General features: G+C 50.3%; 2 protein-coding genes and 1 long non-coding RNA gene across 5 annotated transcripts in view, besides 2 other annotated features; 2 read left to right on the top strand and 1 right to left on the bottom strand.

Moving 5' to 3' along the window:
* Window positions 1,188–2,065: an enhancer, noted in NCBI's record as "H3K27ac hESC enhancer chr17:33468753-33469630 (GRCh37/hg19 assembly coordinates)". NCBI's record gives its function as "activates a minimal SCP1, AML or CMV promoter by ChIP-STARR-seq in primed H9 embryonic stem cells {active_cell/tissue: H9 hESC(primed)}" and the evidence as "EXISTENCE:reporter gene assay evidence [ECO:0000049][PMID:30033119]".
* On the top strand, window positions 1,496–15,069 carry NLE1 (notchless homolog 1). Of its 3 annotated transcripts, NM_018096.5 has the most exons (13): window positions 1,496–1,541; window positions 1,677–1,820; window positions 3,733–3,950; window positions 4,485–4,564; window positions 5,909–5,985; window positions 6,159–6,256; window positions 6,606–6,798; window positions 7,302–7,437; window positions 7,584–7,630; window positions 8,348–8,550; window positions 10,301–10,460; window positions 10,558–10,628; window positions 11,350–15,069. In NM_018096.5, the coding sequence occupies exons 1-13, from the start codon at window positions 1,524–1,526 to the stop codon at window positions 11,360–11,362; spliced, it is 1,458 nt and encodes a 485-aa protein (NP_060566.2). In that variant the 5' UTR covers window positions 1,496–1,523; the 3' UTR covers window positions 11,363–15,069. The 3 variants fall into 3 exon arrangements, with proteins under 3 accessions (NP_060566.2, NP_001014445.1, XP_016880266.1); NM_001014445.2 differs by lacking the exon at window positions 1,496–1,541 and having other exon boundaries at window positions 1,548–1,820; window positions 11,350–12,477; XM_017024777.2 differs by lacking the exons at window positions 1,496–1,541; window positions 1,677–1,820 and having other exon boundaries at window positions 3,893–3,979.
* Window positions 13,067–22,184, bottom strand: FNDC8 (fibronectin type III domain containing 8). Its single transcript, NM_017559.4, has 4 exons — window positions 21,897–22,184; window positions 16,382–16,757; window positions 14,141–14,377; window positions 13,067–13,517 (listed from the first exon to the last, which is right to left on the bottom strand). The coding sequence occupies exons 1-4, from the start codon at window positions 22,103–22,105 to the stop codon at window positions 13,365–13,367; spliced, it is 975 nt and encodes a 324-aa protein (NP_060029.1). The 5' UTR covers window positions 22,106–22,184; the 3' UTR covers window positions 13,067–13,364.
* The window catches only part of RAD51L3-RFFL (RAD51L3-RFFL readthrough), a 112,411-nt gene continuing 110,891 nt past the window's right edge, over window positions 22,277–23,796 (top strand). The window contains exon 1 of the long non-coding RNA NR_037714.1: window positions 22,277–22,508. This is a non-coding gene — a long non-coding RNA (RAD51L3-RFFL readthrough). The remainder of the gene's footprint in view (window positions 22,509–23,796) is intronic.
* Window positions 23,607–23,666: an enhancer, noted in NCBI's record as "active region_12059". NCBI's record gives its function as "activates an Ori minimal core promoter by ATAC-STARR-seq in GM12878 lymphoblastoid cells {active_cell/tissue: GM12878}" and the evidence as "EXISTENCE:reporter gene assay evidence [ECO:0000049][PMID:35858748]".

Here is a 23,796-nt window from a genome sequence, read left to right as displayed (position 1 = left end):
CCTAAAGAGAGGGGTGGCTGGACATAGCAAGGCTGAATTGACCATTATAAGGAGTGTTCTTTTTTTCCTGCATGTAAGGGAGCCGTCGCAGGGTTTGAGGGTGAAGAGCAGCAGGCCAGATTTTTGGTCTGAAAAGATAACCCTGGCTGCATCGTGGAGAATGGGTAGAAAGAGGCAGGAATGGAAATGGGGGGGCTCATCGGGAGGCTGTTGTAGCGGTCCAGGCAGGTGATGATGGTGACTCTGACCAGAGTGAGGCAGTGGAGATGGGGAGAGCAGATTCAAGCTGTGTTCATGAGGATGACTTGGCAGAGCTTGAGACTGCCTGAGCAGTGGAGGGAGAGAGAGGAGAGTTGGCAAGGGAGATCCTTCGTTTCAGGCAAAAGAGCTCAAGTTCATTGCTGTCTGCTTCAGTTCCTCAGTAATATGGGGAGAAAAGGGTTGTAAGAATTAAATGAGTTATGTGGGAAAGCACTTAGAACAATTCCTGACTTGTTGATGTCATTATCACTATTATTGCTTTACAGCATTGATGATTGTAGAAATGATTTGCTTTTGTACTCGAGTATTATTGAGTTGATCCATTTTATTTATTTATTTATTTATTTATTTATTTATTTATTTATTTATTTATTGAGACAGAGTCTTGCTCTGTCATCCAGGCTGGAGTGCAGTGGTGAGAGCTCGGCTCACTGCAACCTCTGCCTCCCAGGTTCAAGAGAATCTACCACCTCAGCCTCTCCAGTAGCTATGACCACAGGCGCATGCCACCACGGCTGGTTAATTTTTTTGTATTTTTAGTAGAGACCTGGTTTCACCATGTTGGCCAGGCTGGTCTCGAACTCCTGGACTCAAGTGATCTGCTCGCCTGGGCCTTCCAAAGCGCTGGGATTACAGGTGTCAGCCACCACGCCCAGCCTTGACTTGATCCATTTTTAAAAGGATACTAATTTCTAGGCTAGGCGTGGTGGCTCACACCTGTAATCCCAGCACTTTGGGACACTGAGGCTGGGGAGTGGGGGACTTGCTGCTTGAGTTCAGGAGTTTGAGACCAGCCTGGGCAACATAGTGAGACCTCGTCTCTACAAAAAATGAGAAAAAAATAACCGGGCAGGGTGTCATGTGCCTGTAGTCCAGGCTACTCTGAGGCTGAGGTGGGAGGATCGCTGTGCCAGAAAGTTCGAGACTGCAGTGAGCCGTGGTGGCACCACTGCCCTCCAGTCTGGGCGACGGAGTGAAACTCTGTCTCAAAATGAAATTAAATTAAAATGGGGCAAGAATCCCTGTTGTGAAGAGTCAAAAGTTTACTGTGTCCTCTAAGACCCTGGCGAAAAATAAATGTGAAGGCTGTTGAGGGGCGGGAGGAGCACCAGGTAAGCCCATTTCTAATCCCTGAGGCCGTGCGCAGCGGGACGCTTCTCCTCCCCAACAGCAGAGGGCGATGTGGCCGGCGGCGACCCCGCCCGACCACGGAGACGGCGCTCTGTCTGCCGGGCTCTTTCTCCTCCACGTGGGGACGCAGGATGGCGGCAGCAGTGCCGGTGGGTGTGCGTGGATGGGGGCGGGGGGCGTCGCCGCGGGGCGCTAGGGCCCGGGTCCCTGAGGCCTGAGAGAGGCGAAGTGGGGCCCTTCTGGGCGGGCGACCAGACTGACTCCCGCCCCACTTGCTCGCGCAGGACGAGGCGGTGGCGCGCGATGTGCAGCGGTTGCTAGTGCAGTTCCAGGATGAGGGCGGGCAGCTGCTGGGTTCCCCGTTCGACGTGCCCGTGGACATCACCCCGGACAGGCTGCAGCTCGTGTGCAACGCGCTACTGGCCCAGGTAAGTGGCTGGCCAGGGCGGCCTCGCATCTCCACCCCCGGGCGGATGCGGTGGGGGAATCATATTACCGAGGGTCTGCGGTTCATGGTCCCCCGCTAACGGACTGTGGTGACCCACCTGGCGTGAGCTCCCACCTATGTCAGAGATGGAATCAGTGGCATAGCGCTTTACACGCCAACCAAAGGGGTCCACCTGCGGAGAGGGGCCTAGCTTTGAACGCACCGGATGCTGTATTTCATTGATTCTTTGTCACAGTCCCCCAGTCTGGGACACGTTAATATCCCCATTTTACAGCGTGGCCCGGAGGGACTCAGTATTTTGCACGATGCTATGTAGTAGGTAGCAGATTTGGAATTGGAACCCAAAACTATCCGAATACCCATGCTTTTATTTATTTATTTATTTACCTTTTTTTTTTTTTTTTTTGAGACGGAGTCTCACTTTGTCGCCAGGCTGGCAAGCTGGAGTGTAGTGGCGTGATCTCTGCTCACTGCAATCTCTGCCTCCCAGGTTCAAGCGATTCTCCTGCCTCAGCCTCCCGAGTAGCTGGGACTACAGGCGCGCGCCACCACACCCAGCTAATTTTTGTATTTTTAGTGGGGACTGGGTTTCACCACGTTGGCCAGGATGGTCTCGATCTCTTGACCTCGTGATCCTCCCGCCTTGGCCTCCAAAGTGCTGGGGATTACTGGCGTGAGCCACCGCACCCGGCCTTTGCTTTTAACCTTTAAGCCAGTGTGTTTACTGAAGAGCTGCCCTGGGGACAGGGGAGGTCCTTAAAATTGCAGTTCCTGGACCCCATCCCAGCCTTACTAAACCAAACTCTGGGATGAAGCAGAAAGTCTACATTTTTTAACAGGCGTTTTGGGAGCTTTTTACACAAATATAGTGTAGTGTGGTAGTTTGGGAAACACTGCATAATGCTATATGCTAATCCTATCTTGGACGTAAAGAACCTGAATTAATCATTGGCAATAGGACATTGAACTAATTACTTAGTTGTTCTGAGCCTCTGCTTTTGAAAACTGTCAGTGGGAATATTAGTATCTACTTCCCACGGTTGTTATGAGATGCAGATAAAGAATTTCAGGCCGGGTGCAGTGGCTTATGCCTGTAATCCCAGTACTTTGGGAGGCTGAGGTGGGCAGATCACTAGAGGTCAGGAGTTCGAGACCAGCTTAGCCAATATGGCGAAAACAGTCTCTACTGAAAATACAAAAATTAGCCAGGCGTGGTGGCAGGCGCCTGTAGTCCCAGCTCCTCGGGAGGCTGAAGCAGGAGAATTGCTTGAACCCAGGAGGCAGAGGTTGCAGTGAGCTGAGATCTCACCACTGCACTCCAGCCTGAGTAACAGAACGAGACTCCATCTCAAAAAAAAAAGAAAAAAGAATTTCCAAGTGCTGTGTAAGTGTCCTGCAACTGCTGTTCAGTGACTTAAAAGGTCTTGCTAGGCTGGGCACAGTGGCTCACGCCTGTAATCCCAGCACTTTGGGAGGCCGAGGCAGGTGGATCACCTGAGGTCAGGAGCTTGAGACCAGCCTGGCCAATGTGGCGAAACCCCGTATCTACTAAAAATATAAAACTTAGCCAGGCGTGGTGATGGGTGCCTGTAATCCCAGCTACTCGGGAGGCTGAGGCAGGAGAATCTCTTGAACCCAGGACGCGGAGGTTGCAGTGAGCAGAGATTGCTCCACTGCACTCCAGCCTGGGTGACAGAGCGAGACTCTTGTCTCAAAAATAAATAAATAAATAAATAAAAGGTCTTGCTCAATGGGCAATGATGGGGGTATCCCTAGCACGATGGCTGAAAAGAAGAAGCTTCACCTCCCACAGCTCAGTGGGGAGCATCCCTGGCAGAGGGTGCCCCTGCACATCCATTGTTGCGGGTTTGTCCTTTACCATTGTCCTTCAGGAGGATCCCCTGCCACTGGCTTTCTTTGTCCACGATGCTGAGATCGTCTCCTCACTGGGGAAGACGTTGGAGTCCCAGGCAGTGGAGACAGAGAAGGTCCTAGACATCATCTACCAGCCACAGGCTATCTTCAGAGTCCGGGCTGTGACTCGCTGCACCAGCTCCTTGGAGGGTCACAGTGAGGCAGTCATTTCTGTGGCCTTCAGCCCTACGGGAAAGTAAGGACAGCTGCAGACTCATGGAGGGGGTATGTGGGGGTGCAGTCTTTGCCTGGTTTGGGGAGGGTCTCCCAGAGTTATAATTGATGGGGCCTCAGGGCTGCCTACCATAGACCCAAGCTCTGGACTCAGCTTGCAATTAAGGGACTTCCTCAGTAGGGCATGGTCCCCAAAGGCTGCTTAAGGACCCCTGCCTTGGACAAACCTCTCCTAGACTTGATTTTTCAAGATCTGAGCTGTGTGACTTGTATAAATCACTTAACCTTTCCGAGTTAATTTTTCATCTGTGAAACTGGGATTAGTTGCTTCTCTCAAACTTAGAAAGGTAATGAGAAGCTTCAAAAGCTGGTTATAGCTGTGGAGAGGAAAGAAATGGCCTCCTGATGTATTCTCCCAGAGGACAGCATCAGTATTGTCTTTCTCCCTTCCAGGGGCGAGGAAAGAGTCCAGTTCCATATTCTATTCACAGAAAGTGATTGAATAGGTGGCACAAATGCACATGTGCAGTGTCAAGCATCCTCTCTTCTTCCCCAGGTACCTGGCCAGTGGCTCTGGAGACACCACCGTGCGCTTCTGGGATCTCAGCACAGAGACACCACATTTCACATGCAAGGGTCAGTATGCAATTAGCCATTTAGGGGGTCTTCTTTTTTTTTGAGACAAGGTCTTGCTCTGTTGACCAGGATGGAGTACAGTGGTGCAGTCACAGCTCACTTGAACTCCTGGGCTCAAGCCTTGAACTCCTGGGTTCAAGCAGTCCCCCTACTTCAGCCTCCAGAGTAGCTGGGATGACAGGCACTTGCCATCACACCTGGCTCGTTTTTTGTTTTCATACAGATGAGGGTCTCACTTTGCAGATTACAACCCCTTAATATCCAGTTGGCGGCTGTCTGTTCCTAGGTAGAGACCATGTCCTTGAGCCCAGCCAGCCACTTAGACACAAGCAGAAACTGCACCAAGGAGTCAATATGGGACATGGTGAGAGGCTGACTGACTGCTACCAAGGAGAACCTGGTTTAAATCCTGCCTCTGCCACAGTGGTTTTCAAACTTGAGCACAAATCAGAATTGCCCCGCCTCAGGGGCTTGTTAAAATGCAGATTGCTGGCCAGGCGTGGTGGCCCACACCTGTAATCCCAGCACTTCGGGAGGCCAAGGCAGGCAGATCACTTGAGGTCAGGAGTTTGAGACCAGCCTCGCCAACACAGTGAAACCCCATCTCTACTAAAACTACAAAAATTAGCCGGGCATGGTGGCGTGTGCTTGTAATCCCAGCCACTGGGGAGGCTGAGGCAGAAGAATTGCTCGAATCTAGGAGGCGGAGGTTGCAGTGAGCCGAGATGGCACCACTGCACTCCAGCCTGGGTGATGGAGTGTGACTCCATGAAAGAAAGAGAGAGAGAGAAAAGAGAAGAGAGAAAAAAATACAGATTGCTGGGCCCCACCCCCAGAGGTTTAGTTCTATTGGGCCTGGGGTAGGGCCTGGGAATCTGCATTTCTAACAAGTTCCCAGGAGATGCTGATGCTGCTGCTCTGACGACCACACTTGAAGAACCACTGCTATACCACAGATTAGTTAAGTGACCTTGTGTGTGTAGGGCATGTTCCCTTTCTAAGCTTCAATTTTCTCATCTGGAAAATGGGGATGATAATTCTTGCTTTGCTCCATAGCTTAGAGCTCTTGTGAGAAATAACAAGGGATGACATGTACAAAAACACTTCATAGCATGTGTCACATAAGGAGTCATTAGAGAGTGATGGTGTTATCCATGCAGCAAGATGCAGAGCTCTAACACTTGGGGTGCATTCTATCCATCCCCAGAAAGCCTCATCGCTCCTTTTGTTCAATCATTCATTTATTCAAATGGTTAAGGAGTACCTGGCACCTGACAGGCACTGCTGGGCACTTGGGATAAAGACAGATGTAGTCCCTTATTTCTCCCTCCTCTGCTTTCTTAGGACACAGACACTGGGTCCTTAGTATATCCTGGTCTCCAGATGGCAGGAAGCTGGCCTCAGGCTGCAAGAATGGCCAGGTAGGTAGTTCTCAGGGTAACTAGGCAGAGACTCAAGGGGGCCTTCCTAGGAGACAGTTCAGAATCAGGTTCAGGAGTCTTTGGGGAGGGTTGGGTGGGAAGTGGTAGGCAGGGATTTTGGTGGAGCCAGAGACCTGTTGGGGAGGATTATTCAGTGAGCTTCTGTCCTTCAGATTCTCCTCTGGGACCCAAGCACAGGGAAGCAGGTGGGCAGGACCCTCGCTGGCCACAGCAAGTGGATCACAGGCCTGAGCTGGGAGCCCCTCCATGCGTAAGTGACACTGACGGAGCTGGGACAAATGAGCCAGGGGATCAAAGCCATCCCCTTTCCCTGCCCAATGCATAGAAGTTTTACGTGAGGGGACAAGATGGGCAGCCTGAATGACCGTGATGGCTTGGCAGGCATGGGAGAAGGGTCTCGGGCAGACCTGCATTGCTGCTTGGGAGAGGCTCTCATCACAGGGTCTGCTGGTTGCAGTCACCTTGCAGTGCAGCCGGGTCTTGGTGTCAGAAAAGCTGTCAAAAGATTGTCCATGGCCTTTAAGTTGGGAATGGGGAGGTGCCATGGGCACACAGATGTTGCCAGGTCACAGATGAGGTCACATCTCCCTTCTCTCCAGGAACCCTGAGTGCCGCTATGTGGCCAGCAGCTCCAAGGATGGCAGTGTGCGGATCTGGGACACAACTGCAGGCCGCTGTGAGCGCATCCTCACCGGGCACACCCAGTCGGTCACCTGTCTCCGGTGGGGAGGGGACGGGCTTCTCTACTCTGCCTCCCAGGACCGCACCATCAAAGTCTGGAGAGCTCATGACGTAAGTGCTGGGAGGGTTCAGAAACCAGTCCAGAAAATCGCAAGTCACAAGATGCTGGCACTCAGAATGACCTTGACATCAGCGAGTCCAGTGTTTCCCAGATGTGTGCTGGGAGCCCTGGTCTAGGGAGGTGTTTTGGGAATGAGGAGTTCTGTGGTTGGTGCTGCACCATAGTGGAGATTGCAGAGTCCCCATGAGATCGTCACACTCTGGAAATTCCTCCTGTAGGACAGCTGTTGGGCTTTATCAGATCTACCATATCCCAAATGTATTGGACAGGAGCCGTTTACTCTGACATCCCTAACTCCTCTTCCATGAAACATTTTCATGATCTGGACTCCATTTTACAAGTGGGGAGAGACTTGACCCCAGAGGGGTAGTTTGATTAAGATCACAATGCATGAGTGATGATGATTATTAGTCTTGTACCACCTGTCTCCTGGGGCTAATCGCCCAGGCGTGGGGAGGAGTGTGTGTGTCTGACCTGACTCGCTCTCCCGTAGGGTGTGCTGTGCCGGACTCTGCAAGGCCACGGCCACTGGGTGAACACCATGGCCCTCAGCACTGACTATGCCCTGCGCACTGGGGCCTTTGAACCTGCTGAGGCCTCAGTTAATCCCCAAGACCTCCAAGGATCCTGTGAGTGATTGGGAGAAGGAAGAGCGGGGGCTGATTGGGAAGGAGCCAGTTCTCAAGCTTAATGGGGAGTGTTTGCTCTTTGTGTTGGATTTTCTTATCGGCCTTCTTCCTCATCTCCTTTTCTCCCCTCCGGTACCTGGTCACAGTGCAGGAGTTGAAGGAGAGGGCTCTGAGCCGATACAACCTCGTGCGGGTGAGTGTGTGCCAGCCACGTGCACCCCTAGCTCTGTACCAGTCCTTAGCCAATCACTAAAACCCTCTCAGACCCTTCTCCCTTCTAGACCCAGCTCAGAATGTACCTATTCCAAAAAGTTGTTCTTCATAATCCTAGTTTGCAATCCTAAAATACTAATGTGCTAGAGATCATTTTATTTCGTTTTTTGTTTAGTTTATTTGCTTGTCTATTTATTACATTTCCAACATGCTTCTTTTTTACTTTAATTTGTTGTTTAAGATTGTTCACACATTCACGTTCAAAAAATACAAAAGGTAGATCGCGGAGTCTCCCGTCTCTATTGTAGCATCCAGTGCCACCAGTATCCTGAATCACCTTCCAGAGATTTAATATACAGACACGTGTCTATATACAGTATATATGTATAAGCACACACACACATGCATACATACATAAAATCCTTCTTTTAACACATTATTTTGTGCCTTTTTCTGTAATTATGTATCTTAAAATTTTTTTCTACATGCATGTAGAGTTTCTTTTTCCTTTTGGATGAAGTGACTTGCCTGGGGTCACATGCGAGTGAGTGGCCAAGCCAGTCCTCATTGCTCCTAGCGCTGGCCTCTCTCTGTCCCTGGCATTGAGTAATCAGGGTGTATGCTTGCTGCCAAAGTCGGGCCCTCCTCCTTCTTTCTGAGACCACACCCAACACAGTGTGCTTTCTGCCTCCCCTAGGGCCAGGGTCCAGAGAGGCTGGTGTCTGGCTCCGACGACTTCACCTTATTCCTGTGGTCCCCAGCAGAGGACAAAAAGCCTCTCACTCGGATGACAGGACACCAAGCTCTCATCAACCAGGTGCTCTTCTCTCCTGACTCCCGCATCGTGGCTAGTGCCTCCTTTGACAAGTCCATCAAGCTGTGGGATGGCAGGACGGGCAAGTGAGTAGGGGTGGGTACTGCTTCTCTGTAAGGAGTGAATGGTGGGAGGGGCTTGGCACTGCCACTTACTAGCTGTATGGCCTTGGCAGGTGTTTGGATTTTCTAAGCCACTGTTTCCTCTTTGGTAATATGCAGACCCCCTACCTCTCAGCTTTGTTACAAGGTGTTTGTTTGTTTGTTTGTTTTTAGAGATGACTTTCACTCTGTCACCTGGTGTTCAAGTGGCTCGAGTGCAGCGGCACGATCTTGGCTCATTACAACCTCTGCTTCCTGGGTTCAAGTGATTCTCCTGCCTCAGCCTCCCAGGTAGCTGGGATTACAGGCCTCCGCCACCGTGCCTGGCTAATTTTTGTATTTTTAGTTGAGACGGGGTTTCACCATGTTGACTAGGCTGGTCTTGAACTCCTGAGCTCAAGTGATCCAACTGCCTCGGCCTCCCAAAGTGCTGGGATTACAGGTGTGAGCCGCCATGCCCAGCCTAGTTACACGGATTTAATGAGACAGTATGTTTAGGACCCGCACTAAGTGGTCACTAAAAATGCTAGTTCAGGCTGGGCGTGGTGGCTCATGCCCATAATCCCAGGAGTTTGGGAGGCCAAGGCAGGCAGATCACCTGAGTTCAGGAGTTCGAGACTAGCCTGGCCAACATGGCAAAACCCTGTCTCTACTAAAAATACAAAAATTAGCCAGGCATAGTGGCACGTGCCTATAATCCCAGTTACCCCGGAGGCTGAGGCAGGAGAATCATTTGAACTTGGGAGGCAAAGGTTGCAGTGAGTCGAGTTCACACCACTGTACTCCAGCCTGGGCAACAGAGTGATACTGTGTCTCAAAAAAAAAAAAATGCTAGTTTATGTCTTAGGAGAGAAGTGATCTTAGAGCTAGCTGCTGAAGAGGTAGGGCTGTAGCCCTGGAGAAGGTGAAGTGGTGGTAGGTAGGCTTGTGGTACAATTGTTACTTGGCCCTCCTCAAAGTGTGGGCCACAGACCAGCGGCATCAGCATCACCTGGGAGCTTGATAGAAATGCAGAGTCCTGGCCCCAACTCAGACCTTGTGGATCTGATTCTTCATTTTAACAAAGTTACCAGGTGACTCTGCTACCCACTCAAGTATGGGAACCCTTGGTGTGATGAGGCACAGTGCTCTTGGGGTTAATCGGATTAGAGGAGAGGCAAAGGCACAGGCAAGGGGGAGAAAAAGAGCCAGGGAAACCTTGTTAGGGCTGAAGGGGGGACCTCTGCGTTAGTGACGTCACTGTGTTTTCACACAGCAACCCTTTAAGATAGGTAATTGGGTTCCTTTTTAAAATAAGGAAAATGAGTCTCAGAGAGGCCTGATGGTTTGTCCAAAGAGAAACAGCTAGACTGTGTTGACGTGAAAGTTCAGTGGGCCCACTGTTACTCCATGCCACCTGTCAGCAGGCACTTGCTGTTTGGGGGGATGACAGGCAGATGGGCTAAGCAGATGGCCACGTTGGAGTCTAAGGCATGCAAAGTTGTGCAGGTATGGAGGGCAAGCAAGAGGCATGCTAGAAGCTACTCATTTGGAGAAGTTTTACAAATTGTAATGACTGGTAATGATTAAAAATGGTCTGGGATGGGGACCAGGCAGTGTGATTTTGTAAAGGTTCCCAGGTATTTCTAACAGACAGCCGAGGTTGAGAACCACTGCCATGAGCGTAGGGGACCCTTCAGACGTGTTGAAAGATGTAACTCAGACTAAAATCCATCATCGTCTTCTCCTGGACCAGGTACCTGGCTTCCCTACGCGGCCACGTGGCTGCCGTGTACCAGATTGCGTGGTCAGCTGACAGTCGGCTCCTGGTCAGCGGCAGCAGTGACAGCACACTGAAGGTGTGGGATGTGAAGGCCCAGAAGCTGGCCATGGACCTGCCCGGCCACGCGGATGAGGTAGGGCCAACCCTCAGGCAAAGGAGGGACTGGGATTGGAGCCTGGCTGGCTGTCTCCCTCTCACCACCCCACCTGCCTTCCTCTGCCTCCCTTTAGGTATATGCTGTTGACTGGAGTCCAGATGGCCAGAGAGTGGCAAGTGGTGGGAAGGACAAATGCCTCCGGATGTGAGTGTGGGGGAAGTGGTGGTTGGCATACACAGCCCTCCTACCCCTAAGGTCCTTCTGTGCACACTTTCCCTTACAGCATAGAATTCCGCAGGGCCGTCCAGGTGCTCAGACTGTCTTGAGGAGGCGTGTGGAGCCAGATTCTCAGTGGGCAAGTGGGAGGGCCACAAGTGGGAGGGCCACCGGAACAACAGAGGCCACAGGACACCTCGTAGAGGGCGCGTCCAGGTCTTTCTGTCAGTGGGCAAGTGGGAGGGCCACCGGAACAACAGGGGCCACAGGACACCTTGTAGAGGGCGCATCCAGGTCTTTCTGTCACTAGACTTCAGAGTCGCAAGACCTGAGTTCAAATCCTGGTTCTGCCATGGAGTAATCACAGAGAACTTGGTTAATCAGTCTCTTGGGAATTATCAAACCTTCACAGACAGGATCAAAAATAGGAGGGTCAACACTCTGGAAGACAAAGTGTTGTGTGCTTATAAGGGATTGTGACTGTTTGCTGGTGGGCATCCCGAGGGCCAGGCCCTGGGTGGAGGTCCTGGTGGCAGCAGGCAGTGAGTGGGCAGCCTGAGTTTGGGTGGGCAGAGCAGGGACGGTCACCTGGCTCTTGGTGACTCTGAGGGTGGACCACAGGCCGTCCGTCTGTTGACACTGGGATTATATGACGGCCTCCCTTTCCTAAGGTGGAATCCCCATCCTGACACCCTTCCCTTCTCCACAGATGGAGGAGATGAGACGGCCCGAAGTTCTCTCTGACCCCCACCTCGACTCGGCCTCTGCCAGCTGCCTTCCCTGCCAGAGAACAAAGGCTGAGATGGCAGTGCACACACCCTCCCCACCAGTGGGGACCTGAGAATGCGTGTGGCCTGCTGTCCTCGATAGACCGGAATGGGGTTTTCCCACAGATCCCCGCCTGTGGCACACCCCAGAGCCAGAAATCGAAGGTCACAGGAAGTTGTCACTGAACTTGGCCCGTGTCTGCTACTCTGTACCTTGCTGGTACAGACAGGGGTGGTGGGCAGCCAGGCTCTATGAGTGGGCCCCTAGTGTCAGCTCTGTACAGGGTCAGATCCCAGGTTCTATGACCAAATAAGTAACTTAAGTTTTGTGTGTTGGGTTCTAATTCCTTGTCCTAGAATCCCCATGACTCAATCAAGGACTGTGCTAAATGAGATTGTCCAGCCCCCGCCCTTGCACTGGACTACGCCAAAACCACACTGACCAGGCACTTGCCTTCCCTCTCTTCCCCCGTGTTGGTAAGAGAGAGGCCAGTTGTGATAGTGGCCAAGGAGAATCTAGGGCTGTATTGTTGTCCACTGCAGTAGGCACCGGCCACATGTGACTGCTGGCATGAAATAGAAGTGCAGTTCCTCCATCGCACTGGGTAAGGCCTCCAGTATTGGACAGCACACAGAAAGGTTTTCATCATCAAGAGAGTTCTGCTGGTCAGCCCTGCTCCAGGGGATGCCTCTGCCTTCGCATAGCACACTGCTTGAGGCCCTGCCAGGCACCAAGCACTGCCCTGGGCCCATGGGATAGAGCGGGGAAGGTGATGGCTCTTCCAGAGGATTCCCTCAGATGGGGAGGCAGCAGTATGAGCTCTGAGCAGAAGTGGGTATTGTTGATACAGAGGAAGTTCTTTGCCACGAGAACTTTCAAGCAGTGAAAGGAATTCCCATCAGGACTCAGACCCCAGGCCGAGATCTTGCCCTGAATGTACCCTGCCTCTGCTTTCTCCTGCATCCCATGCTAAGCAGGGTCATGGTCTGAACTACTCAGATTGGATTTCCAAACCATCCTTGTATAAACTGCTCAGAACTAGCATCTTGCTCCTTCTTACCCTCCTCCACCCTTGTCTGTGCTTTTGGGTTTTGCGCGTCACCTAGCTGTGGTGCTTGGCCTCCACCTTGCACATATCTGCAGTGAGGCTACATAAGAAGCGAACAAAACTATCAGCCACTGAGCTCCTTGGTGCCAGCTGTTTGTCTGCTGTGCTCTCAGACTGCACCAGGCCTGGAAGGTTCTCAAGCTCCAAAACTTTTGATGAGGAAACAACATAAGAAATGATTAGCCCATGCCCTCACATCTAGTAAGAGAAAGCTGGGATTAAACCAGGCCCTGCCCCAAAGCTTATTGTGCACTTTGTACCACATCCCTCCGTCCAGAGCTCAAGCTAGTTTGACAGTTCATGGGCCACCACGTCTGTCCATGACAGCTATTTCTGTATTTTTCTGGTGTAAGAGCCTTTTAGTCTTAGAGCACCAGTCTCCCTGTTCCCCTACCCCGCCCCACTGGGGAAGGGGTGATGGCAGCATCCTATTGCCTAGCTGCCTGTTTTCTATCTCCCCACCCATGTAGACTCTGTCCTGGTGGAAGCTAGGAGGTGGGTGCCAGCCAGCCCATCTGAGGCTGTCTGCAGCATAAAGCAGACTTTAGGGTGCTGGATGACCTGCAGTTCTTTAATGAGGGACCTAGACCCAGCCCAGATTTGGAGGAGGAGGGAGTCTAGCAGCTGTGGGCAGTGGCTGAGCCTGGCATGGCCTGGCCTGAGATGCCTCCAGGTGAATGGGGCCCCTATGTAGCCTTGGCCCCAGCCCAGGGGTGGGGTGCCCATACCACTCTGCCAGACCCCGGGCCCGCAGGGTGCTGGTGGTATGGTAGGTCTCATGGCTCTGGTTTCTGAGGGCCTGGGGTTGAAGCTGAAAGTAGGTGAGGGGTGTCCTGGGGCCCTCCCCCTTAACAGGGAAATAGGTATTCCAGATCCTCCAGCCTCCGCATCTCCTCCGGCCCGATGGACACGATCTTTTGCCGGGGTTCCTTGCGCCGCACGGTGATCTGGATGGGGTAGTTCTCAGGAAAGCTGCTGAAGTCAGTGGCCAGGGTTGCAAACTGAAGTGAAACAAGAAAACCCTTCAGAGTTCCTTCCCAGATCTGAACCTGGCTCTCTCTCTGTCTCTATCACCCCTTTTTTTTCTGTCTGCTGACTCAGACCTTAAACAGCCTTATCCAACCTAGCCATTGACGCAGGAAACAGGTGCAAAGATGCATGACTCAAGCCTGTACCTCCTCATTATGGGATATTTCCAACCAAAGGGCTGTCTGTACTCAGGCCTCTATACCCCCATACCCCTACCCCATACCCAGGCTGTTCCCTTCTTCGTCCCCCTTTAGCCTCTTGTCTTCCCTATTTCTTTCAATGCCCTTGACTTCCCAGCCTACTCACAATCATGGGCACTGAATTGCAGAGTCTAAAAACCAATGGCTTTGGAAGGGGAACATTATAGTGATGTTGAAAAATACATTCGTTTGCATTCCTAGTGGGCCCCAGAGTGGCTTAATCCTTAAACCTCCCAGAAGCATGCATTCTGGAATTGATGCTTCTTGACCCAGGCAGAAGGAAAGCTAGCCAGATGAGTCATGTGGGCATAGGGGTGTTCCCAACCTCCAAAGCCCTGGTTCCCTGGCTTTGGACTTCTCTCCACCCCCAAGGCCCCTCTTTTCCCAGGGCTCACTTTGTAGGGCTTGCACCACTTCCCCACCCCAGCTGTGTTGGCTGCACGGACACTGAGGCAGTAACACGTGTTAGGCTTTAGCTCCATCAGCTTGACAGTAGTGCCCAAAATCTTGTTGAAGATCCATGGACGATTCTTTGCCTCGGGCAACTCATTCTCCTGTGTCTTGGCCACCTCCTGTAACAGGAGCTGGTAGAAACTGACCGGCTGCTTGCCCAAGGCGTAGGTCCAGGAAATCTAGGGGAAGAGAGAGCCCCGAGGCTTCCTCAGATATGTCCTGTCCTTCCTGTCCCTTCACCCTCCCAACTGGGGTCAGGACGTCCCATGCCCATCCCCTGCTCCTGCTGGGGCCCAGGCAGGTCAGATGGAAGGTGCAAGGTACTGCAGCACTGAGTGTGGAACCCCTGCCCCGAAGCATGTACTACTCTCCTGGGCAGCCCCACCCACTTTAGGGTACACCCTCATTCCATATTTCTTATACGCCAGGGGTCCTCAACCCTTGGGCCACCAACTGATAGCAGTCCATGGCCTGTTAGGAACTGGATAGCACAGCAGGAGGAGATTGGTGGGCGAGCAAGCGAAGCTTCATCTGTATTTACAGCTGCTCCCCACGGCTCAGGGTACCACCTGAGCTCTGCCTCCTGTCAGATCAGCAGAGGCATTAGATTCCCATAGGCACGTGAACCCTATTGTGAATTGTATGGGAGGGATCTAAGTTGAATGCTCCTTATGAGAATCTAATGCCTGATGATCTGTCATTGTCTCCCATCACCCCCAAATGGGACCCTCTCGTTGCAGGAAAACAAGCTCAGGGCTCCCACAGTTTCTACATTATGGTGAGTTGTATAATTATTTCATTATATATTACAATGTAATAATAATAGAAATAAAGTACACAATAAATGTAATATGCTTGACTCATCCTGAAACCATCCCCCCAACCGGATCCATGGAAAAATTATCTTCCATGAAACCAGTCCCTGGTGCCAAAAAGGTTGGTTCTAGACTCTGTCTAGACTCTGTTAGCTGAGAGGGACCTTAGAGATCATCTTATCGACTAGGTCCAGAGAGGGCAAGTGACTGGTCCATCATCATACGGCAATTAAGTGACAGCCAGTGTTCAAACCCATAGCTCCAGAGCCCATACACTTTGTACTACAATGGTTGCCAAGCCTGGCTAAGCATCTCAGGGAGATTTTGTAACTGCAGATTTCTGGGCCTGCTGCCTCCTGTCTGGTTTCTCCTCCATCTAGGCCAGTGTTTGTCAAACTTGGTGTGCATTAGAATACCCTGGAGGACTTATTAAAAGATAGATTACTGGGCTCCGCCCCAACAGTTTCTGACTCAGGAGGCCCAAATGTGGTGGAGGGAGATGAGAATTTAAATTTGTAACAATTTGCTGAGTGATGCTGACATTGTCCATCTGGAGAGCACTTTGAGAAACACTGCTCTGGGCCATCCAACAGTGGAATTCCAGGCATCCTCCCAAGATACAGCTCGAATTGCTTTCATCATCTGATGTGAAGCTTTTTACAAAGCTGTTCCCTATTACTTACAGAAAAGTCTATAAAGTAGTCTAACACTGGAGGACTCTGGAAGATGATCCCAGACTAACATTCCCCATCCTGTCCCCTGTCTTCACTTCCCATAGTGTAGGACGGTGTTGTTCGACGTGTAGCCCGCGGACGGGGAGCCACAGCATCCTCTGGGAATCTGTTACTAATGCAAATTATCAGGCTTCACCCTAGACCCTCTAGGGAGGAGGCCCAGCAATTCTGAGTAGCCTCACTCGATCCCAGGTCCTCATCCAGGGCTTCTCACGCTTTCATGTTCCTACAGATCACCTACCATCTTGTTCAAATTGAGATTTCCTCCCTCACTTTCCTGTGAGCTTTTGCTAGGGTCCGCCCCTCCAGGGAATGCCTCCCTCCTCCACCTCTAGATGTTTACATGCTACCTCTACATCCCAGCTCAGATGTTACCAAAAGCCACCAAGCTTATTCCCGCATCTGGAAATATCTTTCCCTCTGAATTCCTGGTGGCACTTGCTCTGAACTTTTCCTACAGCACTGAACCCTTTCTGTCTTGCACTGGAGTTTTTACAGACACATCCTCTCCCTTCCTAAACCGTGAACTTGAGGTCGACATGCAGGTGGCAGGCACCTTCTCACTACCCATGGAGCTCAGCTCAGTGCCTGGCACAATAAGCCTCTGCTGAACGCATGAGCAAGGGAAACGCACCACAGCTGTGGAATTGTTGACGGTGTGCTCAAAGATGAAGGGGGTGTCCGGCAGGTCCACAACCACAGAAGATTCTGAGTGCGTTGAGGAGGTTTCTGTCTCCAGCTCAGGGTTGTCAAGGTCCAGCAGGCCCCTTGTGGCCATCTGGGACTTCGATGGGCATGGGCAGGGGCCGAGCGCCAGGTCCTCATTTTCTGCATTCTTGGCCATTGGGGAGAAGCTGAGTTTGTTCAGCTCCCCCTCCAGCATCCCTGCAAAGAAGCTGCTGTTGGGCTGGGTCACAGCTAATTTGATGGGGTTCAGCAAGGTGGATGAGAAGGCAGAGATGCTGGTCTCATCAGAGCTGCAGTCTGAATCCTCTACTGGCAGCGGCTTCCTGGAGCAAAAGGGGAGACAGGTGAATCAGATGAAGGAGGCCACCCCAGCCCGTTCCACCTGAGGGCAGGCCTTGGGCCTGACTTACCAGCATCCCCAGCCATTTGCAAACAGCTTGGAACAGCCTCATTGCTCTATAGCATTGCATTAGACTCACCAGGGCACTTACTAAAAATGCAGACTTTTAGTCCCTGGTCCCCAGTTAGCATGGGACTAGAGAATCCGCATCTTTAATAAGATCCTGGCTGGGCGCAGTGGCTCACGCCTATAATCCCAGCACTTTGGGAGGCCGAGGCAGGCAGATTCAAGGTCAGGAGTTACAGACCAGCCTGGCCAACATGGTGAAACCCTGTCTCCACTAAAAACACAAAAATTGGCTGAGTGCGGTGGTTGGCACCTGTAATCCTAGCTACTTGGTAGGCTGAGGCAGGAGAATTGCTTGAACCCAGGGGGCAGAAGTTGCAGTGAGCCGAGATCACACCACTGCACTCCAGCCTGGGTGACAGAGTGAAACTCTATCTCAAAAAAAAAAAAAAAAAAAAAAAGCTTAGAAAATCCTGATGCAAGTGTTCTGCAAACCACAATTTAAAAAACATGCTAAAATGGCAAGTCCTCCCTCCAAAGTGGGGTGCAAATGCCCCAGGGAATAACCACAAAGATCTACTGGGGTATGGAAGTAATACATTCAATTTCACTAATGTTTATTTACTATTGTTTAAATTTTAATGGAATTACTAATATTTACTTACATTTTAGTGGCATTTAATAATACCTATTAATATCTAGCACGTAAAATTAACAGAAATACAAATACATATATGGGCCAGGCGCGGTGGCTCACACCTGTAATCTCAGCACTTTGGGAGGCCAAGGTGGGTGTATTACCTGACGTCAGGAGTTCAAGACCAGCCTGGCCAACATAGCGAAACCTTGACTCTACTAAAAATACAAAAAATTAGCTGGGCATGGTGGCGGTTGCCTGTAATTCCAGCTACTTGGAAGGCTGAGGTGGGAGGATCGCTTGAGCCTGGTAGGTGGAGGTTGCAGTGAGCCGAGATCCTGCCACTGCACTCCAGCCTGGGCAACAGAGTGAGACCCTGTCTCAAAAATAAAATAAAACAAATATACATATGTTGGTGTGGATGCTCAAAAACTTATTTCTTCCACTCTGAATTTTTTAAAATTATGAAGTATTTTAGACTTATACAAAAATATCAAGAATATTATATTAAACCTCCATTTACTCCTCATCTACCTTTAGAAATAAAATCTTATCACTATGGGTAAAGCCCCCCAGACACTTCTGTCTCCCACCAAAGTCCCCATCCTTCGACCGACAAGTAATGAGTACAGTAAAGTTTAAATTGTGTATTTATTACTCAATGTGTGTCTTTATAGGTTTCTTACATATTTATGTTATCCCTAGGCAAGATCTATTATTTTTCACGTTTGTAGATGTTGTACAAATAAAAGATATTATTCAGCACATACCCATCTGCAACATGCTTTTTTCACTCAACTTTGTGTTGACATTCATCTATCTTGATACATGTAGCTCTGGTTCAGTCGTTTTTACTGTTTTATGATTTTCCATTACATGGATATTTGTTTTTGTTTTTGTTTTTTGAGACAGGGTCTCCCTCTGCTGCCCAGGCTGGAGTGCAGTGGCACAAACTCCCAGGCTCAAGCCATCCGTCCACCTCCACCTCCTGAGTAGCTGGGACTACAGGTGCACATCACCATGTCTAGCTAATTTTTGTGTTTTTCTGTAGATGCAGGGTTTTGCCATGTTGCCCAGGCTGACTTCGAACTCCTGGGCTCAAGTGATCCTCCCAAAGTGCTTGGATTATAGGTATGAGCCACTGTGCCCGGCCTATATGGATATTTGTATTGTTATGAGATGTTTGCTATTACAAAGAAAAACCTTGTACATGATCCCCACCACTTAACATTTCTTTTTTCTGTTTTTACTCTTTTTTCTTTTTTTTTTTTTTTGAGCTGGAGTCTCGCTCTGTCGCCCAGGCTGGAGTGCACTGGTGTGACTTCGACTCACTGCAACCTCCGCCTCCCTGGCTTAAGCGATTCTCGTGCCTCAGCCTCCCGAGTAGCTGGGATTACAGGCCCACACTGCCACATCTGCCCAATTTTTGTATTTTTAGTAGAGATGGGGTTTTACCATGTTGGTTAGGCTGGTCTCGAACTCCTGACCTCAGATGATTTGCCGGCCTCAGCCTCCCAAAGTGCTGGGATTACAGGCGTGAGCCACTGCCCCCAGCCAAACAAAAAACAATATTTTTTTAACTGATGAAGAACACCAAGCCAAAAAGTTTGGCTTTCAAATCTTTTTTTACCTTTACCCAAAGTAAAATACACTTTCCATGGCAACTTAGTACATGCATATATACGCCTATAACTAAGACAAACATTTCACAGACCAACACTTACTCTGTGTGCAATGGGCTCTGGAATTTCCAATTCTATTATAGTTTATTTTATTTATTTATTTATTTATTTTTGAGATGGAGTCTCACTCTCTCAGCCAGGCTGGAGTGCAGTGGCGTGATCTCAGCTCACTGCAACCTCCGCCTCCTGGGTGAGAGTGATTCTCCTGCCTCAGCCTCCCGAGTAGCTGGGACTACAGGTGCGGCCACCATGTTCAGCTAATTTTTGTATTTTTAGTAGAGAAGGGGTTTCACCATGTTGGCCAGGATGGTCTCGATCTCTTGACCTCGTGGTCTGCCCGCCTTGGCCTTCCAAAGTGCTAGGATTACAGGCGTGAGCCACTGCACCCAGCCAGTTTATTTTTATCATAGTGGTCTTCACCAACTAGAAGGACTTCTTGACCCATTAATAGGTCACAATCCACAGTTTGTGGATCCCTTACTCCCATCCAGCCTCCCAGGTCTTGGTTGATGAACGGGCCAAGTTTTTCCTCCCCAGGTTCCAGCCTCATCAGCCTCCTCCTGAGAAATCCTGATTAGCCCAGATCCCCTATGCTAGCGCTTGGTGGACATTTGGAATAAATGATTCCCCCACCAAGGTCTTTTGTAGACTGAAGAGTCTGGGTATTAATGTCATATGTGCTTTAGATTGTCCTAATGAATTAATATTTCAGATTCACTTACTGCAAATGCTGGTACTGAAGCAAGCACAGAAGGCCGCTAGGCACTGGCTACATGCTGAACATCTCCTCCTCCTGATGTTCACAACAGCTCTGCTGGATGGATGTTAGCCCCATTTGGCAAACAAGGGGCTGAGGGTCCCTGATCTGTTTTTTTTTTTGTTTTGTTTTGTTTTTTTTATGGAGCCTTGCTCTGTCTCCCAGACCCCTGGCTGGAGTGCAGTGGCACAATCTTGGCTCACTGCGACCTCCACCTCCCAGGTTCAAAGGATTCTTCCGCCTCAGCCTCTTGAGTAGCTGGGACAACAGGTGCGTGCCACCACATCCAGCTAATTTTTGTATTTTTAGTAGAGACGAGGTTTCACCATGTTGGCCAGGCTGGTCTCAAACTCCTGACTTCAAGTGATGCATCCGCCTCAGCCTCTCAAAGTGCTGGGATTACAGGCGTGGGCTACCCCATCTGGCCTCCGATCTTAATTAAGTTGTCTAAGACCATAAATCTCTAAGTGGCAGAACTTGGATCTGAGTTTGGGCTTCTAGTCCAAGATTCCCAGTATACCATGAAGTTTCCTACGAGCATCCATCACTTTAGCCATACCTGCTTGCTTACGGGCACTTTGGGGAATGGACACCACATCCCTCTCACATACTCAAGACCAGCTATGTAGTCTGTGGAGCCCAGTGCAAATTGAAGTACCCTGAGCCCCTTATTCAAAAATTCTGAATTTGAAGATAGTAACAGAAAAGCATTAAACTAAGCACAGGCCCCTTGTAAGTGCAGGGCTATTTGTGACTGCACAGGTCATTCACCCATGTGGTGGGTGACCTGCAAGTAATTCCCTCAGCCCACATCACCCTGTACCACCACCCCTTCACTGGCTAACTCCTTTCCTTCCTTGGAGACTCAGCTCAAATATCACTTCCTCCAAGAAGCCTCCTTCAACTGCACCCAGTCTCAAGCTATACTAAGCCCCTCTGGTCCCTCAAGGCATCCTGTCCTGGCACTTACCAGACCATGCTATATCATTCTGGTTATTGCATGATCCCCATCCTTTCACCCCTGACCTCCACATGCCAGACTGGGAGCTCCTTAAAGGCAGGGACTGTGCTTTCCAGCTCTGCGTTCCCAGAACTTAAACACTGGGACAGACACCTTGCAGGTGCTCAAAGAGTTTTGTGGAATGAAGTAGAGGAAAACCAGACTTGGTGAGGAGGAACAGCAAAACCCAGTCCGAAGGAAGGCAGGCTACTGGGGAGCAGTCAGGTAGATGAAGGTACCAAAGAGAGAGGGTTGAGGAAGAGGAGCCATGGGTGTGTCAGGGATTTGGTGATGGTGAGGACCACAGCCAGTCAAGGCAGGATAAGGAGCACTGTCAACAAACTGACTAATCCAAGAAGGCCTCCTGGAGTGGGAGCTCCATATGCCTCCAAGAAGTGATTTGGGGCTCAGGAATACATAAATAGATCCAACCTGCCCACACGCTCTTCTCTGGGAGTCAAGGAACTGGGTTGTGACAAGTCAGGGAAGTATAGATTCTTTGTCTCTCTGCCCAGCCCTCGGCTCCAGCCTTTCTTAGAAACTATAGGCATGGTGGCTCAAGCCTATAATCCCAACACTGTGGGAGGCTGAGGCGGGAGGATCGCTTGAGCCCGGAAGTTCAAGACCAGCCTGGGCAACACGGTGAAACCCCGTTTCTACCAAAAAAAAAAATTTATATATATATATATATATATATATATATATATATATATATATATATATATGAAAATTAGCCAGGTGTGGTGGTGGCGCGTCAATAGTCCCAGCTACTTGGGAGGTGGAGGTGGGAAGATCACTTGAGCTCAAGAATTCAAGGCTGCAGTGAGCCGAGATTGCACCACTGCACTCCAGCCTGGGTGACAAAGCAAGATCCTGTCAAAAAAAAAAAAAAAAAGGAAGGAAGGAAGGAAGGGAGGAAGGAAGGGAGGAAGGAAGGGAGGGAGGGAGGGAGGGAGGGAGGGACCAGATTTGTGACTTACAGTAGGTTGATGGTATCATCCTCCAAGAAGTTGACCAAATTGCCCTTTGAGGCTAGTGGGAGTCCTTTGGTAGTGACGGTCCGGTTCATAGACTTGGGGTTTGAAAAGGGTTTTGGCAGTTGGTCAAGGGCATTCATCATGTTGAAGTTTTCTTTCTTCAGTACAGCCTCCTCCCCATCTCCCACTTGATGGAGTGCCTCTGATGCCATCTGATTTGTTCGGGATGACACCCGTCACCATGCAGGACAACCCAGCTGACCAGAAGCAGAGAGAAACTGTGGGGGCAGTGGCCCACCTTTAGTTTGGACAGTCTGCAGGTGCAATGAGCTGACTTCATAATCATCACAGAGTGTAACAATTACAGGCCAGCCTCCCCCCTTGATTTGAGGCTACTGCTGCCAGGCTAGCTATGTGGCTGGCCAGACCAAGGGCCAGTGTGACTGTGAAGCAGCATCATGAGAGGGGTAAAACCAAGGAACAGACTGCATGAGCCCTTGGGCCCCTTCCAGCTCTAATACTCCATGGTGATGGCAGCCCTGCCCTTCTCTGAAGATCTCAAAATGCCTGACACCTGTGTCCTTCCGCACTGCCCTGGGAAGGAGAATAAGGATGGTGAGAGATGGGCGTGGGATGTAGAGGATGGTGGTGTGGCCCTGAGAGATAGGCAGTATTGGAAAGTGTCTGCTGGGGAGGGAAACTTTGTCCGTAGAAGCTAAGGCTCTCTATCCTGAAACCATAGGCTGCAGACTCCACTGTGCCCAGTCGGTTAGTGAAAGGGAAAGCCCACATGGTTCATAGGGGTTCATGGCTCACATATGATCAGACTTCACTGCTAGAATTCTAAATGTGCCACACCCACACTCCCAAGTACTTTCCTGTGTGGAGTGACAATGGTGGCAGTTGCAGTGGGATACAGAGATGGGCCACACATGATCTCTGCTCTCAGAGAAACCACCTTACAGTAGGAAAACATGTACACAGCTTCAGGGGTGGGGAGGGGGGCTGTTAGAAAGCACTGGCTTTGCAGAGTCAGATGTGGATGTGAAGTCCAGCCCTGTGCCGCCTAGCTGGGTGACCTTTGGCAAGTGATTTAACCTCACTGAACCTCAGTTTCTTCATTGGTGAAACAGGGATAAAAAATAGCGCCTCCCTCACAGATTTGTGATGAGATAACCATGTAAAGTTTTATTTCTTCCTATGGATGAGGCAAAGCAAAGGACATTTAAAAATACCAAATCATATCTTTTTGTGTGTGTTCTATATAACCAAGGTTTCTTGCCCTTAAAAAAAATAAAAAATAAAATAAAAAATAGAGGCCGGGCACGGTGGCTCACACCTGTAATCCCCGCACTTCGGGAGACCAAGGCAGGAGGATTGTTTGAGCCCAGTAGTTCGAGACCTGTGTGGGCAACATGGTGTAACCCCATTTTGTAGAGGCGAAACCTCTACAAAAAATACAAAAATTAGCTGGGCAAGGTGGCACGTGACTGTAGTCCCAGCTACTCAGGAGGCTGAGGCAGGAGGATCGCTTGAACCCAGGAGGTCGAGGCTGCAAAGCTGAGATCTCACCAGGGCACTCCAGCCTGGGCGGCCGATCGAGACCCTGTCTCAACCAAAACAAAACAAACTTTTGAAAAATAGACGCAGGTGCCCTCTGGATGCTTTGCTGCTTCTTGACACCTGTCGTATAATCTGTAATGATGTGATTTCTGCGATTCCTTTTCATTGTCTGTCTTTCCCTTGCTCACAGTAAGCTCCCTGGGGGTAAGGGCGGGTCGTCTTGTGTCGCATTTTGTCTCCAGCGGAGATCCGTTCCGTTTGGAACGGAAGCTGGCGCACAGAAGGCTCTTTAGAAGGTCGGTGTGTGTGTTGCGGCAGAAGGTAGAGGCCGAATGTGGCC

This window comes from Homo sapiens, chromosome 17 (genome assembly GCF_000001405.40).
Source record: "Homo sapiens chromosome 17, GRCh38.p14 Primary Assembly".
In the NCBI taxonomy this organism is placed as follows: domain Eukaryota; kingdom Metazoa; phylum Chordata; class Mammalia; order Primates; family Hominidae; genus Homo; species Homo sapiens.
The sequence above is the reverse complement of the archived record's forward strand: the minus strand, read 5'-3'. Positions and strand labels throughout refer to the sequence as shown.

What these genes read in the sequence shown, in the direction of transcription:
- NLE1 (NM_018096.5), top strand. An exon ending in AGCTGGGAGCCCCTCCATGC is followed by an intron (nt 6,257 to 6,605) that starts GTAAGTGACACT and finishes CCTTCTCTCCAG; the next exon opens with GAACCCTGAGTGCCGCTATG. An exon ending in GCCGATACAACCTCGTGCGG is followed by an intron (nt 7,631 to 8,347) that starts GTGAGTGTGTGC and finishes TGCCTCCCCTAG; the next exon opens with GGCCAGGGTCCAGAGAGGCT.
- FNDC8 (NM_017559.4), bottom strand. Translation starts at nt 22,105, where the DNA reads ATGGCATCAGAGGCACTCCATCAAGTGGGAGATGGGGAGGAGGCTGTA. An exon ending in TCAACAATTCCACAGCTGTG is followed by an intron (nt 14,378 to 16,381) that starts GTGCGTTTCCCT and finishes CTCTTCCCCTAG; the next exon opens with ATTTCCTGGACCTACGCCTT. An exon ending in AGTGGTGCAAGCCCTACAAA is followed by an intron (nt 13,518 to 14,140) that starts GTGAGCCCTGGG and finishes GTTTCACTTCAG; the next exon opens with TTTGCAACCCTGGCCACTGA.